The 13,707-nt window shown below is 45.0% G+C and overlaps 1 protein-coding gene across 21 annotated transcripts in view, besides 1 other annotated feature; it reads left to right on the top strand.

Moving 5' to 3' along the window:
* Window positions 1-13,707, top strand: part of CLTCL1 (clathrin heavy chain like 1) — a 112,247-nt gene that overhangs the window by 72,053 nt on the left and 26,487 nt on the right. For 17 of the 21 annotated variants that reach the window (XM_047441517.1, XM_047441515.1, XM_017028954.3 and 14 more), the window contains 4 exons: window positions 3,411-3,556; window positions 9,158-9,341; window positions 10,553-10,745; window positions 11,356-11,513. In XM_047441517.1, coding sequence (XP_047297473.1) covers window positions 3,411-3,556; window positions 9,158-9,341; window positions 10,553-10,745; window positions 11,356-11,513 — 681 coding nt within the window. Of the gene's footprint in view, window positions 1-3,410; window positions 3,557-9,157; window positions 9,342-10,552; window positions 10,750-11,355; window positions 11,514-13,707 lie in introns of all 21 variants that reach the window. The other 4 variants (XM_017028955.3, XM_047441522.1, XM_017028957.3 and 1 more) reach the window with 2 other exon arrangements.
* Window positions 1,212-1,949: an enhancer, noted in NCBI's record as "OCT4-NANOG-H3K27ac-H3K4me1 hESC enhancer chr22:19205227-19205964 (GRCh37/hg19 assembly coordinates)". NCBI's record gives its function as "activates a minimal SCP1, AML or CMV promoter by ChIP-STARR-seq in naive H9 embryonic stem cells {active_cell/tissue: H9 hESC(naive)}" and the evidence as "EXISTENCE:reporter gene assay evidence [ECO:0000049][PMID:30033119]".

The raw sequence follows: 13,707 nt of genomic DNA, 5'->3' as shown, positions 1-13,707 counted from the left end.
ACTAAAAATACAAAAATTAGCCGCACATGGTGGCACACGCCTGTAATCCCAGCTACTTGGGAGGCTGAGGCAGGAGAATTGCTTGAACCCAGGGGGTGGAGGTTGCAGTGAGCCGACATCGTGCCACTGCACTCCAGCCTGGGCGACAGACAGAGACTCCATCTCAAAAAAATAAATAAATAGGCCAGGCATGGTGGCTCACGCCTGTAATCCTAGCACTTTGGGAGGCCGAGGCGGGTGGATGACTTGAGGTCAGGAGTTCAAGTCCAGCCTGGCCAACATAGTGAAACCCCATCTCTACTAAAAATACGAAAACACACTGTGTGGCGCATGCTTGTAATCCCAGCTACTCAGGAGGCTGAAGCAGGAGAATCGCTTGAACCCAGGAGGTGGAGGTTGCAGAAAGCCGAGACTGCACGCCACTGCACTCCAGCCTGGGCAACTGGGTGAGACTCTGTCTCAAAAAAATTAAATAAATAAATAAATAAATAAATAAATAAATAAATAAAACATCTTAGTCCTTACGAACCTTCTCCCCTGCAGAAATAGCTTGCCTAAAAATAGCTTGATTCCCCAGGGTAAGCTGACTTGGAACTGTTAACTGGCCAAGGGCATAGAGTTGGCCCTTGGATCCAAAGCAGGGATATGCAGCCCAGGAAGAGAGTACCTGGTGTCATGCCTGCATGCTGGGCCCAGCTCAGCCCTCGTGGACAGAGGTGAAGTAGCTTTCAAGGTTGTCTCAGCTGACTTCCCTTTGTTGAGGTGCTCTTTATGCCCCTGTGACTATCCAGCACCTCCTTGGAGACTGGGCAGAGTGCTGGGGCCAGGGGTCATTATTGGGTATGGCCTGGCAGGTGGGAGTCTGCCTCGGCCTCTGGGAGGGCTTCCCACAGCCCTGTGGAAGAGCCTCCTCTCCAGTTATAGCCTCACAGACATTTGCAGATAGTGCCTCTGCTGCCCTCAGCACTGTCCCTAGGTGCTAGGCAGACTGTTTAGGGGTGGGGCAAGACCAATGTTGGAACAAAACCCTCGTCCAACAAGTGGCTTCAGCCCTGAGAATAGGACCAGTTAAAACTCCCACCTCCCTCATACACATTGCCAACCTGCTGGACCAGTGCTTTCGAAAGGCTTGAGGGCTGGATTTGACCTTTATCTCTACTGAATTTCATCCTCTCGTTTTCTGTCCACTGTTTCCTCAAGCCTGTGCCACTACTTTTTTAAATAAACTTTTTATTTTGAAATACTTTGAGATTTATGGAAGGTCATGTTGTTTTGAATCTCTGTTTCAACTTTGGACTTACCCATCCAAATCTAATAAAAATATTAAACAACACAATATTCTACTAGGGTTCTACATCCAGGTTCCCAGACATCAGACATTTCTCCAGGTATAGTCCAGCCACCTGGTACACCTTGAAGGTGACTTCATGTTGGTACTGGGGAAGGGCCACTTTAACACTGCACCATACCGGAGCCAGCGGGGGCCTCTTGTCTTCCTGTTTCTGGGTAGAGCTGCTGGTCTTTCATTATCTCTGCTGTAATTGGATATCTGTAGCCACCTCCTGGTGCGAAATTCAACTGCAATGCTCCTGTAATCCAGAGCGCATAATAACAGAGGGAGGCTGCTTTTAGTGTCTGGAGTGGAACCTCATTATGAAAAGTTTACTGAGAGCAGTGTCCTGAGGCAACCTTAGGTGGGGCATCCTGTATTGACTCAAACAGATGGTAGAAATTTATTTTTGCCCTTAAAACAACCTGTGTGTATTTATTTAAGTTGCTCCAAGGTTTTCTTTCTTTCTTTTTTTTTTTTTTTCTCTTTTTGAGACAGAGTTTTGCTCTTCACCAGGCTGGAGTGCAATGGCGTGATCTCGGCTCACTGCAACCTCCACTTCCCAGGTTCAAGTGATTCTCCTGCCTCAGCCTCCTGAGTAGCTGGGATTACAGGCACCTGCCGCCACGCCTGGCTAATTTTTGTATTTTTAGTAGAGATGGGGTTTCACTATGTTAGCCAGGCTGGTCTCGAACTCTTTTTTTTTTTTTTTTTTTTTTTTGAGACAGAGTCTTACTTTGTCACTCAGGCTGGAGTACAGTGGCGCGATCTCGGCTCACTGCAAGCTCCGCCTTCCGGGTTCCCGCCATTCTTCTGCCTCAGCCTCCCGAGTAGCTGGGACTACAGGCGCCCGCCACCACGCCCGGCTACTTTTTTGTATTTTTAGTAGAGCTGGGGTTTCACCGTGTTAGCCAGGATGGTCTCGATCTCCTGACCTCATGATCTGCCCGTCTTGGCCTCCCAAAGTGCTGGGATTACAGGCATGAGCCACCGCGGCCGGCCTCCAAGGTTTTCAAGAATTGACAGTTAGATGTCACTGTTGGAAGTGTACCTTCTCCTTTGGATGGACTTGTGCTGTGTCCTGGTGCCCCTTTCCCTCAGGCATACCCTTTTGGTTCCTTAGCTGCTGGGAGAGCTCCTGTTCTCAAACTCTTCAGCCTCCTTGTTGTAGTTACTACAAATTCCACAGAGGTAGAACTTTTGCATCTTATGGTACCATTGAGTTCACAAAGACTAGCAGAAAGGTGGACTGGACTGACCTTGACCCTAGGTTCCTTTAAGGCCCCTCAAGATTGCTAGGTGAAAGTTCATGGTCAGAGGGCTGTGTTAGCCATGAAAGACCGTCCAGAGCTGTCTCTTCCCTCTCATTGATACACGGCTGTTGCCCACCCCTGAGGAGAACCAGAAACTTGGCAAAAATATTAGATTCTGGAAGTCACTGAAGGTGCCTGGTCCAAAGTGCAAAGAGAACAGTGCTGGCGTTCCAAACTGCTGTTGCATGGGAAATGTACTCTTTGGAAAACTGTCTTTCCACCCTATTTGTAAGTGTTTTTGTATGTGAGACACCTATAATTGGAGGAGGGGTGGCACAGCCAGTCTTTTGTTGGTCTTTCCTTCAGATTGTGGTTCTGAGTGTCATCCGGTGTGAAGGCACGTGGCTCCACAGCTCTGGCTGTGGACTGTGCCACAGCAGTGGCAGTGCTCTCTTCTAGTAAGAGGCTGCTGGAAGCCCCTGCGGTGTCTTCATTAGAGAAGTGGAGCCATATTTGCTATTAGTGGCTTTAAGAGACAAATCTAAAAGGAGACATTCATTTCAAAATGCCTGGTGCACTGGTCATTGGAGCTGAGTAAGAGTCTGTAGCATATTTGATATGAGAGAAAAACTAATTGTCAAAACAGAGCAAACAGAATTTCCTGAAATTAACTTTGAAAACCCTTCCTTTGTTACATTAAGAAGTCTCCCATTTTCTCTGTGTCTATTCCAGACCATCTTGGAGGAGTCCTTCCCTTCTGTTTAGCTTCAAAGATACAGTCTTGAATTGACTTTAATCAAGTTCTTTCAAATGCTTTTTAAAACCAGGTGGTACAGACAGCATTGTCAGAAACACGGGATCCTGAAGAGATTTCGGTCACTGTCAAAGCCTTTATGACAGCCGACCTGCCTAATGAACTGATTGAACTGCTGGAGAAGATAGTTCTGGATAACTCTGTCTTCAGCGAGCACAGGTGAGGCTATGCCAGGGGTAGCTGTGGACACAGGCAGATTCAAAACATCTGCTTGATACTCATCTTCTGTTACAATCTCGTACCGCTTCACCCATCCAGCCTGCCCATTGGCTGCTCCCCAGACATGCCAATCTTCTTACCACCTCCTCTACCTCAATCTAGCCCTTCCCTTATTAGCTCCTGCCTGTCTCAGAGCCCAGCCTCAGTTTCACATTTTCTAGGAGCCTGCGCTCCTCTTACTGCTCTGGCCCACACTGTCCTTTAACACAATGCTCAGAGAAAGGGAGCTGGCATTTTATGAAGGTCTCATGTGGCCTAAGGATGTGTTGAACTCTTCAAATCATGGTGAACAAAGCTTGGAGAAAGGTGGCAGGAGAACCAGATCTGGGCATGTATCAGGGAAGACTTGCCCGAAGTATAATGTAGAAGCCAGATGAGCAGGAGCTGTGGCAGGGGCAGCAGCACAGGCCCGGCACTATAGAGGTGCGAGTGCGTGCTTCCGATGGACCGGCACTATAGAGGTGAGAGTGCACGCTTCCACACGGACCGGCAGTATAGAGGTGGGAGTGTGTGTTTCGGCATGGACCAGCACTATAGAGGTGGGAGCGCGTGCTTCTTTTGCATGGGCAGGCACCATAGAGGTAAGAGTGCGTGCTTCCGCATGGGCCAGCCACCTGGGGTTCCTCTCCACTTCAAAATTCACCATCAGAGATTCTGTGTCAGATTTTAATCAACTCACATCATAAGTGCAGCTGTAAAGATTTAGTTATGAGATTTATTTTGTAGGCCAGAAAGGCTATCAAGGGCTGTAGTATTATAGAGAGGAATTTGTGTGTGTGTTTTTAAACTTGGAGATGCTATATGGTAATGGCATATGGAATGTGAAATTATATTTAATGGAATCATAAACCCTGACTAATGACAGGATGCCAGGATTAAGGTGCCTGAGGTGGCTACGATATTCTGTCTTGCTGTCTGATCAACCTCCTTTGATAGTTGTTAGTTTGTGTGTACTTCCAGGCACTTACAGGTGGCTGTAGCTCTGCTGTCTTCTTAAACACTTGCTTCTCAAACATGCAGGTAACCTCAAGTTCGTGCTCTTCTTTCATTGATGATTTCACCAGACAGTTTTATGCGTAGGTAAAAATAGCCTTGGCTGGGCGTAGTGGCTCACGCCTGTAATCCCAGCACTTTGGGAGGCCAGGAGTTTGAGACCAGCCTAGCCAGCATGGGTGAAACCCTGTCTCTACTAAAAATAAAAATTCAGCCAGGCATGATGGCAGGTGCCTGTAATCCCAGCTACTCGGGAGGCTGAGGCGGGAGAATCGCTTGAGTCTGGGAGGTGGAGGTTGCAGTGAGCCGAGATGGCACCACTATACTCTAGCCTGGGTGACAGAGCGAGACTCCATCTCAAAAAAAAAAAAAAAAGCAAAATATATTATTTTTAGAGTATATACTTGGAAGAATATACTTATGACCTAATAAATTCTTAAGCCAGTCACAGAAACCAGAAACCATAAATAAACCTTTAGTGAAAAACCAATAAGACTGTATTAAACTTAAGCACTTTATCGTAAAGAAGATGGACAAATGAGAAGCTACAAATGCGGGGAAGATATTTGCAACACAACCAACAAAAAATTAGTAGGGAAAAGTTGTAATAAAAGACAAACACAAGCAACCCAATGAGAAACCAAGCAGAGAGCTTGAGCACACCCTCCGGTGAGAGGAAGGGCAGCTTGTGAATTCAGCCTCATCAGCCACCAAGGAGGCACAGAGTGAGGCCACAGTGCATCATCCGATGCTTTGTTACTCCTGCCAGAGCAGCAGGAACCCCACTCTCCTAATCAGTGCTGATGAGGATGTTGAACAGCTGGACCTCTGACGTGCCCCTGCTGGGAATGTGCGTTACATTTGGAAACAGTTTGGTGAAAAAAGATGCACACAGCCAGCAATTTCCTCTCTTCCTTATGAGCCCTAAAGGAACTCAGCTTATTTGTATGAGGAGATGTGCAGGGATACTCAAGACAAAGCTCTAAGAGCGATCCAGATAACCATCAATAAGTAGGCTGTAGTACAGTCATACAGTGGAATACCAGATAGCAGTAGAAATGAACACTGTACATGGATGACCCTTAGCACCCAACTTTAAAATTCTTTTTTATAAAACCACCATACAGTAAAAATGACCTTCTGGAAGGGGATGGGGAATGCAGTGCTAGGAATTTTAACACAAGTGTAGATCTGTAGAATCACCACAGTCGGGATACAAACAATTCCATCACCCTTTAACATTCCCTTGTGCTAGCTACCGTGTATATTATACATTCCCCCAAACCTCAACCCCCAACCCTGGCTACCACCCCGCCACACTAGTTTTGCATTTTCAAGAATGTCATGCAAATGGAGTCACGTGGTATAGACTCCTCTGTGACAGGCTTCTTTCACCCAGCGTGATGATGCCTTTGAGATTCATCCAACTTGGTGAGTGCATCGCATCAGCCTTACATTCTTTTTTGTCACTGAATGATATTCTGTTGTACGAATGTACCACAGGATCTCTTCACCCATCAAAGTACGTTTGGGTGGTTTTCAGTTTGAGGTTATTATGAATACATCTGCTGTGAACATTTGTGTCCAGATTTTTGTTTAAACATACCCAATCACATGGTATATGTACTGTTTAAGAAACCGCCTCACTATTGTTTTCCAGAATGGCTGTGTCATTTTGCATTCCCACCAGCAATATGTGAGAGTTCCAGTCACTCTTCATCTTTAGCAGCACTTGGTATATTGGTATTTTTTTATCTTAGCCAGTCTCATAAATGTATAGCAGTGTGCCATTGTGGTTTCAATTTGCATTGCCCTAGTGGCTAATGATGATGAACAACTTTTTATGTGCTCAGTTACCATCCGTAGATCCTCTTTGGTGAAGTGTCTCTTGAAATCTGTTGCCTGTGTTTTAATTGGGTTGTTTGGTTTTTTGTTGAGTTTTCAGAGTTCTTTGTATATTCTGGATACAAGTCCTTTGTTGGATATGTGATTTCCATATATTTTCTCATTCTGTAGATTTTCTTTTATTTTCTTAATAGTGTCATTAACAGAACAAAAGTTATAATTTTGATAAAGTCCAATTCATAAACTTTTCTTTTATGGACTGTGCTTTGGTGTTAAAACAAGAACTCTGTTAATACTCCCAGGTCACAGAGATTTTCTGTTATTTCCTTCTAAAAGTTTCATTCTTTTTCATTTTATATTTAGATTCATTATCCAATAAAGTGTGAAGTTTAGGGTGAGGTTCAGCTTTTTGCATATGAATGTCCAGTTTATTCCAGCATTATTTGTTAAAAATACTCTTTCTCCATGGAATTGCTCTTGCATCTCTGTCAAAAATCAATTGGCCAGATAGTGTAATTCTTCCACCTTTGTTCTTTCTTTCTTTCTTTTCTTTCTTTCTTTCTTTTTTCTTTCTCTTTCTTTCTTTCTCTTTCTTTCCTTCCTTCCTTCCTTTCTTTCTTTCTTTCTCTTTCTTTCTTTCTTTCTCTTTCTTTCAATAGGGTCTCCCTCTGTCACCCAGGCTGGAGTGCTGTGGCATGAACACGGCTCACTGCAGCCCCAACCTCCTAGGCTGAAGCAGTCCTCCCATCTCAGCCTTCTGAGTAGCTGCAGGTGTGCACCATCATGCCTGGCTAGTTGTTTTTTTTTTTTTTTTTGGTAGAGACAGGGTCTTGCCATATTGCCCAGGCTAGTCTCAAACCCTGAGGTTCAAGCACTCCTCCCACCTTGGCCTCCCAAAGTGCTGGGATTACAGGTGTCAGCCACTATACCTGGGCTCAACTTTATTCTTTTTCAAAATTGTTTTAGCTATTGTAGTTCCTTTGCCTATCTATATAAATTTCAGAATTAGCTTGTCTATATGTACAAGAAAATCTGCTGGAACTGGAACTGCATGAAATCTATGGACCAATTTAGGGAGAATTGATATCTTTACTATGTTGATTCTATGAAAGTGATATGTCTCTCCATTTATTTAGATCTTTGATTTCTTTCATCAGCAGTTTATAGTTTTTGGCATATAGGTCATATGTAGATTTTATTAGATTTATACTTATTTCATATTTTTGGAAGTATTTTAAATAGATTTTTTGTTTACAGTTGTTCATTGAAAAACATTGTCAGTATATAGAAATACAATTGATTTTTGTATGTTGACCTTGTATTCTACAACCTTGCTAAACTCATTTATTGGATTTTTTTTTTTTTGTAGATTTCTTCAGTTTTTTTTAATCAATCATGTTGGCTGCAAATTGGGACAGTTTTGTTTTTGTTTTTTTTTTTTTTTTTGAGATGCAATCTTGCTCTGTCGCCCAGGCTGGAGTGCAGTGGCGCAATCTCAGCTCACTGCAACCTCTGCCTCCTGGGTTCGTGCCATTCTCCTGCTTCAGCCTCCCCAGTAGCTGGGACTACAGGCGCCTGCCACCACGCCCAGCTAATTTTTTATATTTTTAGTAGAGACGGGCTTTACCGTGTTAGCCAGGATGGTCTTGATATCCTGACCTTGTGATCCACCCGCCTCAGCCTCCCAAAGTGCTGGGATTACAGGCGTGAGACACCGGGGACAGTTTTATTTCTTCCTAATCTAGTGCTGCCTGTGCTTTCTTTGCGATTCATTATAGAAAAGAAACTTTTTGTTTCTTTTGTTGCCTAAATGCCTTAACCAGAACCTCCAGCACAAATAGAAGTGTGGAGAGTGGACATCCCTGCCTTGTTCCTGATCCTCGGGGAAAGTGTCCAGACTCTGTTACTTATGATGTTAACAGTGGGCTTTTTGTAGATGTACTTTCTCAGATTGAGGAAGTTTCCTTCTATTTCTAGTTGAGAGTTTTTCTCATTAATAGGTGTTAGATTTTGTCAGATGCTTTTTCTGATCATTTGATAAAGATGTAGTATTTCTTTTTTAGATTATTGATATGTGGTGTGTTACACTGATTTTTTTTCCACATTTTTGAATTGTATAAAGTTTTGCAAGAATGCATCTATTATAATTAAAGCAAAGGAAAGTTCAAGAAATGCAAAGTGACCTGGTGTGGTGGCTCACACCTGTAATCCCAGCACTTTGTGGGGGCAAGGTGGGAGGATCACTTGAGGCCAGGAGTTTGAGACCAGCTGGGCAACATAGCAAGACCCCGTCTCAAAATTTTTAAAAAGTTAAAAAAAAATGCAAAGCTGCCTATATTGCTTAGAAATACAGTAGATGTGATAAAGCTATAATGAATCACAAAGAAAGCACAGGTAGGAAAATAGGTACCTCTACAGCAGGATCCAGAGGCTGGGCTCTAAAAAGCCACAGCAGCCCTCCCAGTGGTTTGATTGGCACATTCTGATTCTCTTACCTGTGCTTTCCCAAGACTTTGCTATACTGTTTCTTTTTAGATCCCAAATACTTCACAAATACTCTGTTGTATTTACTTAGCAGTTATGTGTGTGTATATTAATTACTTTTTTAAAAAAACTGGGGGTCTGGGGATGCCTGACCTGCCAAAAAATGGTTTGTGCAGCCTTCGTTCCTGGGATGCCGTGCTGACCACCCTCTCTCCTCAGGAATCTACAGAATCTGTTGATCCTGACTGCCATCAAGGCAGACCGCACACGGGTCATGGAGTACATCAGCCGCCTGGACAACTATGACGCACTGGACATCGCGAGCATCGCTGTCAGCAGCGCACTGTATGAGGAGGCCTTCACCGTTTTCCACAAGTTTGATATGAATGCCTCAGCAATCCAGGTGGGCTGCTGAGTGTAAGCATGTCGGACCTAGCACCTTCTGCCACATCATGAGTGCGCCCTGCAAGCCCTTGTCCTCTCCAAGGGTGTCAGACCCTCTGGTTGTCCAGTGCATCTCTTCGTGCTCTTCTCTGTTCCTCACCAGCAACCCATCTTCCCAGCCCGCTGGCCCCTTGTCTTGACCTTCTCTGTGGGTGCTCCTTCCATTGGCTGTTAGTCTGCCCCTTCCCTATTACTCCCCAGCACTCCCTTGGACTTGGGTACCTGACCCAATGTCATCGGTCAGCCCAGGTGACAGAAACGTTTGATTTTCAGAGGCACTCACATCTTACCCTCAATGACAACCATTCCAGCCCTCTGCACCATGCTACTCACCCCCTATACTCCCCATTCCCCCATCTCCTCAGCAGGAGCTTTTCAGGATCCAAGGTCAGGTTCCCAGAGCAGGCCCTCCAGCCCTCCCTGCCTGCCCCTCTGCCTCCTCAAGAACTCTTCTTCTTTAAACTGCATCCCTTTCTTTCCAGTCTATGAGCCTCTTCTGGTTTTATTTCCAAATCAGTTGTAAACCACAGGACATCTCACCTGAACTGCTGTCCTACCAATTATCTTTATGTCCTTGCCTCTTCCTTTACCTTATTTCTATACCTGCTGTGAAACCCCCAATCCAGGAGCCCTTCTTTTGTGCCCCCTCATGGGCTCTGGCCTTGCTTTGAGACAGACCAGCTCATCATATTAGGGGGCAGCTGATACTGCCACCACCTCCACTACTATACAGTGGGTGGCCCTCACTGTCACGCAATCTGCCAGACTGCTCAGCAAGCCTGTTTCTGCCTGGTGAGCAATCTTATTCCCCACAGCAATTCTTGTGAACTCTTTTACAGTTTCTATGCTCTGTTGCACTGTCTTTCCTCCCAAGGTCAGGAGCAAGTCCCATGTCCTACCCCCGGCCCAGAAAGCTTAACCTGGCTATCTCCATCTCTGTGCCTCTTTATTGGAGTGTCTCTTCTTTGTTCGGCATCCCCCTTCTCATATAATAGCTCTTGTCTCTTCCCTCAACCTGTCCATCTGAGAAATGCTTAGTACCTGATTGCTTCTGACTGAAGTGAAATGGTCATGCAGCTTTAGGCAGAACAGGAAACCAAACAAAAATGTGTCTGTTTTTTGGAGCTGACTAGATGTTGCAGAGAATGGAAGTCCTCTCATAACCCCTAGGTCCTGATCGAGCACATTGGAAACCTGGACCGGGCATATGAGTTTGCGGAGAGATGCAATGAGCCTGCTGTGTGGAGTCAGCTGGCCCAAGCCCAGCTCCAGAAAGATTTGGTGAAGGAAGCCATCAACTCCTATATCAGAGGGGACGACCCTTCCTCTTACCTGGAAGTTGTTCAGTCAGCCAGCAGGAGCAGTAAGTGAGTCCCCTCTCCCTAGGGCTCTGCATCTCACTGATGCAAAACCTGGCTGAAGCAAGAAGTTGAAGAGATTCTCACAAATCTCTACGTATGATGTATCCAGAGATATCAGAGGGCACATCTACATGAAAGTTTCCCACAAGAGTCTGAGATAAACATTATTCTGTTATTGACACCAGCTCTTTAGTTGACTATTGCCCTCCTTTACAAGATGAGGTCATTTAAGCACACTAGATATCTCAATATCGCCACTGTAGTAATTTTAAAGTGAGTGACAGGCCCACAATTCCCAGGGATCTTCTGGTGTTTCAAGTTGATTGTGGCACCGACCTCTCTGATGTCCAGAACAAGCATTCTGTCTCCTGGCAAAGTCTTTTCTAAGGGAGGTGGCCTGAGTGTGGCTCTGCCCCTCCCCTCCTCCCTTCTGAGCTATGGATCTGCTTAGTGAGCATAATCAAGACCTCCTAGACGTTATCTGGAGTCTGAGTTCCCAGTGAGACATAACTGGAGGGTAAATGTGTCTGGCTGAGAACAGAATGGGAGGAATTGAGCCCTTGTTTAAAATTATCAGCTCTGGGTTAACCTATCTTTGTTTTCTGTCTTTAGACAACTGGGAGGATCTAGTTAAATTTCTGCAGATGGCCAGGAAAAAGGGCCGTGAGTCCTATATAGAGACTGAACTTATTTTTGCCTTGGCTAAAACCAGCCGTGTTTCTGAGCTAGAAGATTTTATTAATGGACCCAACAATGCCCACATCCAGCAGGTAGGCCATGCCCCCTGGGGGCTGTGCACTGCCAGTCAGATTTAGGTCCAGGGATGTTCCTCAGAGCAGCAGTCCCGAGCTGTTTTGGCACCAGGGACTGGTTTCATCGAAGACAGTTTTTCCACAGACAGGTCGGGGGTGGTTTGGGGATGATTCAAGTGCATTACATTTATTGTCCACTTTATTTCTACTGTTATCATATTGTAATATATAATGAAATAATTCTACAACTCACCATAATGTAGACTCAGTGGGAGCCCTGAGTTTATTTTCCTGCAACTAGATGGTCCCATCTGGGGATGATGGAGACAGTGACAGATCAGCAGGCATTAGGTTTTCATAAGAAGCATGCAACACAGATCCTCGCGTGTGCTGTTCACAATAGGGTTTGTGCTCTGTGAGAATCTAATGCTGCTGCTGATCTAACAGGAGGCGGAGCTCAGGCAGTAATGCAAGCAATGAGGAGCAGCTGTAAATACAGATGAAGCTTCACTCGCTTGCCTGCTGCTCACTTGCTGCTATGGGGCGTGATTCCTAACAGGCCACAGACCAGCAGCGGTCCGTGGCATGGGGGTTGGGGACCGCTGCTTTAGTGTGATGCAGATAAAGATCATGAGAAGCAAGCCACACGAGGAAGTAAGTAACCTGTTGCTATTATTGGTATGGAAATTGAGACCCATGGAATTTTGACATGCTCTTGGCTATACACATCAGAATAATTCTCCTAGAAGAGATGTGAAGACTTACATCCAGGCGTTCTGTTTACTACAAGAAAACAAAATTAATTGAGTCAGAGTTAATAATCTGGATGCATAAAATATATATTGAAAATTAATAGGCTGGGCATGGTGGCTCATGCCTGTAATCCCAGCACTTTGGGAGGATGAGGCGGGTGGATCACCTGAGGTCAGGAATTTGCGACCAACCTGGTCAACATGGCAAAACCCCGTCTCTACTAAAAATAACAAAATTATCCAGGCCTGGTGGCACACGCCTGTAGTCTCAGCTACTCAGAAGGCTGAGGCAGGAGAATCGCTTGAATCCGGGAGATGGAGGTTGCAGTGAGCCGAGATAGCACCACTACACTCCAGCCTGGGTGACAGAGCGAGACTCCGTCTCAAAAAAAAAAAAAAAAAAAAAAAATTAGTAGTTTATGTCACCAAAAATCAGATAACATAATGGGGAAGAAAACATTCCTTTTTTAATAGGAATAAAGCCAAAATGTTTAAATAAACCTTAACCATAAATAAAAGATCTAAATAATTGTGGAGTCCGCCATGTAGATAAGATGTTACCCTTGGAAAATGTGATGCAGAGACATGAAGAGATAATGGAATGTATTATAACTCTATATTAGTTACAAGTGCACTTCTTGGAGGAACGCATGCAATTTATTGAAATGAATAACAACAAAGTGGGCCGGGCACAGTGGCTCATGCCTGTAATCCCAGCACTTTGGGAGGCCGAAGTGCGAGAATCGTTTGGGCACAGGAGTTCAAGACCAGCCTGGGCAACATAATGAGACCCCCATCTCTAAAAAGGAAAAAGAAAAAAAATAACAAAATGAACTTTGAGCTTTTTATTTCAAAATAAGTTCCAAGTAGTTGTTGGGGCTGGGCACGGTGGCTCACACCTCTAATCCCAACTCTGGAGATAGAGGTGGAAAGATCACTTGAGCCCAGGAGTTCAAGACCAGCCTGGACAACATAGTGAGACCCCCATCTCTATCAAAAAACTAAAAAATATTAGCCGAGTGTGTGGCATGCACTTGTAATCACAGCTACTTGGAAGGCTGAAGTGGGAAGATCACCTGAGCCCAGGAGGTCAAGGCTGCAGTGAGCTGTGATCGGGGTGAGCTGTGATCGGGGCACTGCACTCCAGCCTAGGCAAAGAGCGAGACCCTGTCTTTAAAAAACAAACAAACAAAAAGAAAACAAGGGGGTGAAGGGCCTGTAATCTCAGCACTTTGGGAGGCCAAGGCAGGTGGATCACTTGAGGTCAGGAGTTCAAGACCAGCCCAGGCAAAATGGAGAAACCCCATCTCTACCAAAAATACAAAAATTAACCAGGCATTGTGGCACATCCTGTAGTCCCAGCTATTTGGGAGGCTGAGGTGGGAGACTCACTGGAGGCTGGGAAGTCAAGACTGTAATGAGCTGTGATTGTGCCACTGCACTCCAACCTGGGTGACGGA

This window comes from Homo sapiens, chromosome 22 (assembly GCF_000001405.40).
Source record: "Homo sapiens chromosome 22, GRCh38.p14 Primary Assembly".
Classification (NCBI taxonomy): domain Eukaryota; kingdom Metazoa; phylum Chordata; class Mammalia; order Primates; family Hominidae; genus Homo; species Homo sapiens.
Note: the sequence above shows the minus strand (reverse complement) of the source record. Positions and strands in the feature narration are given on the sequence as shown.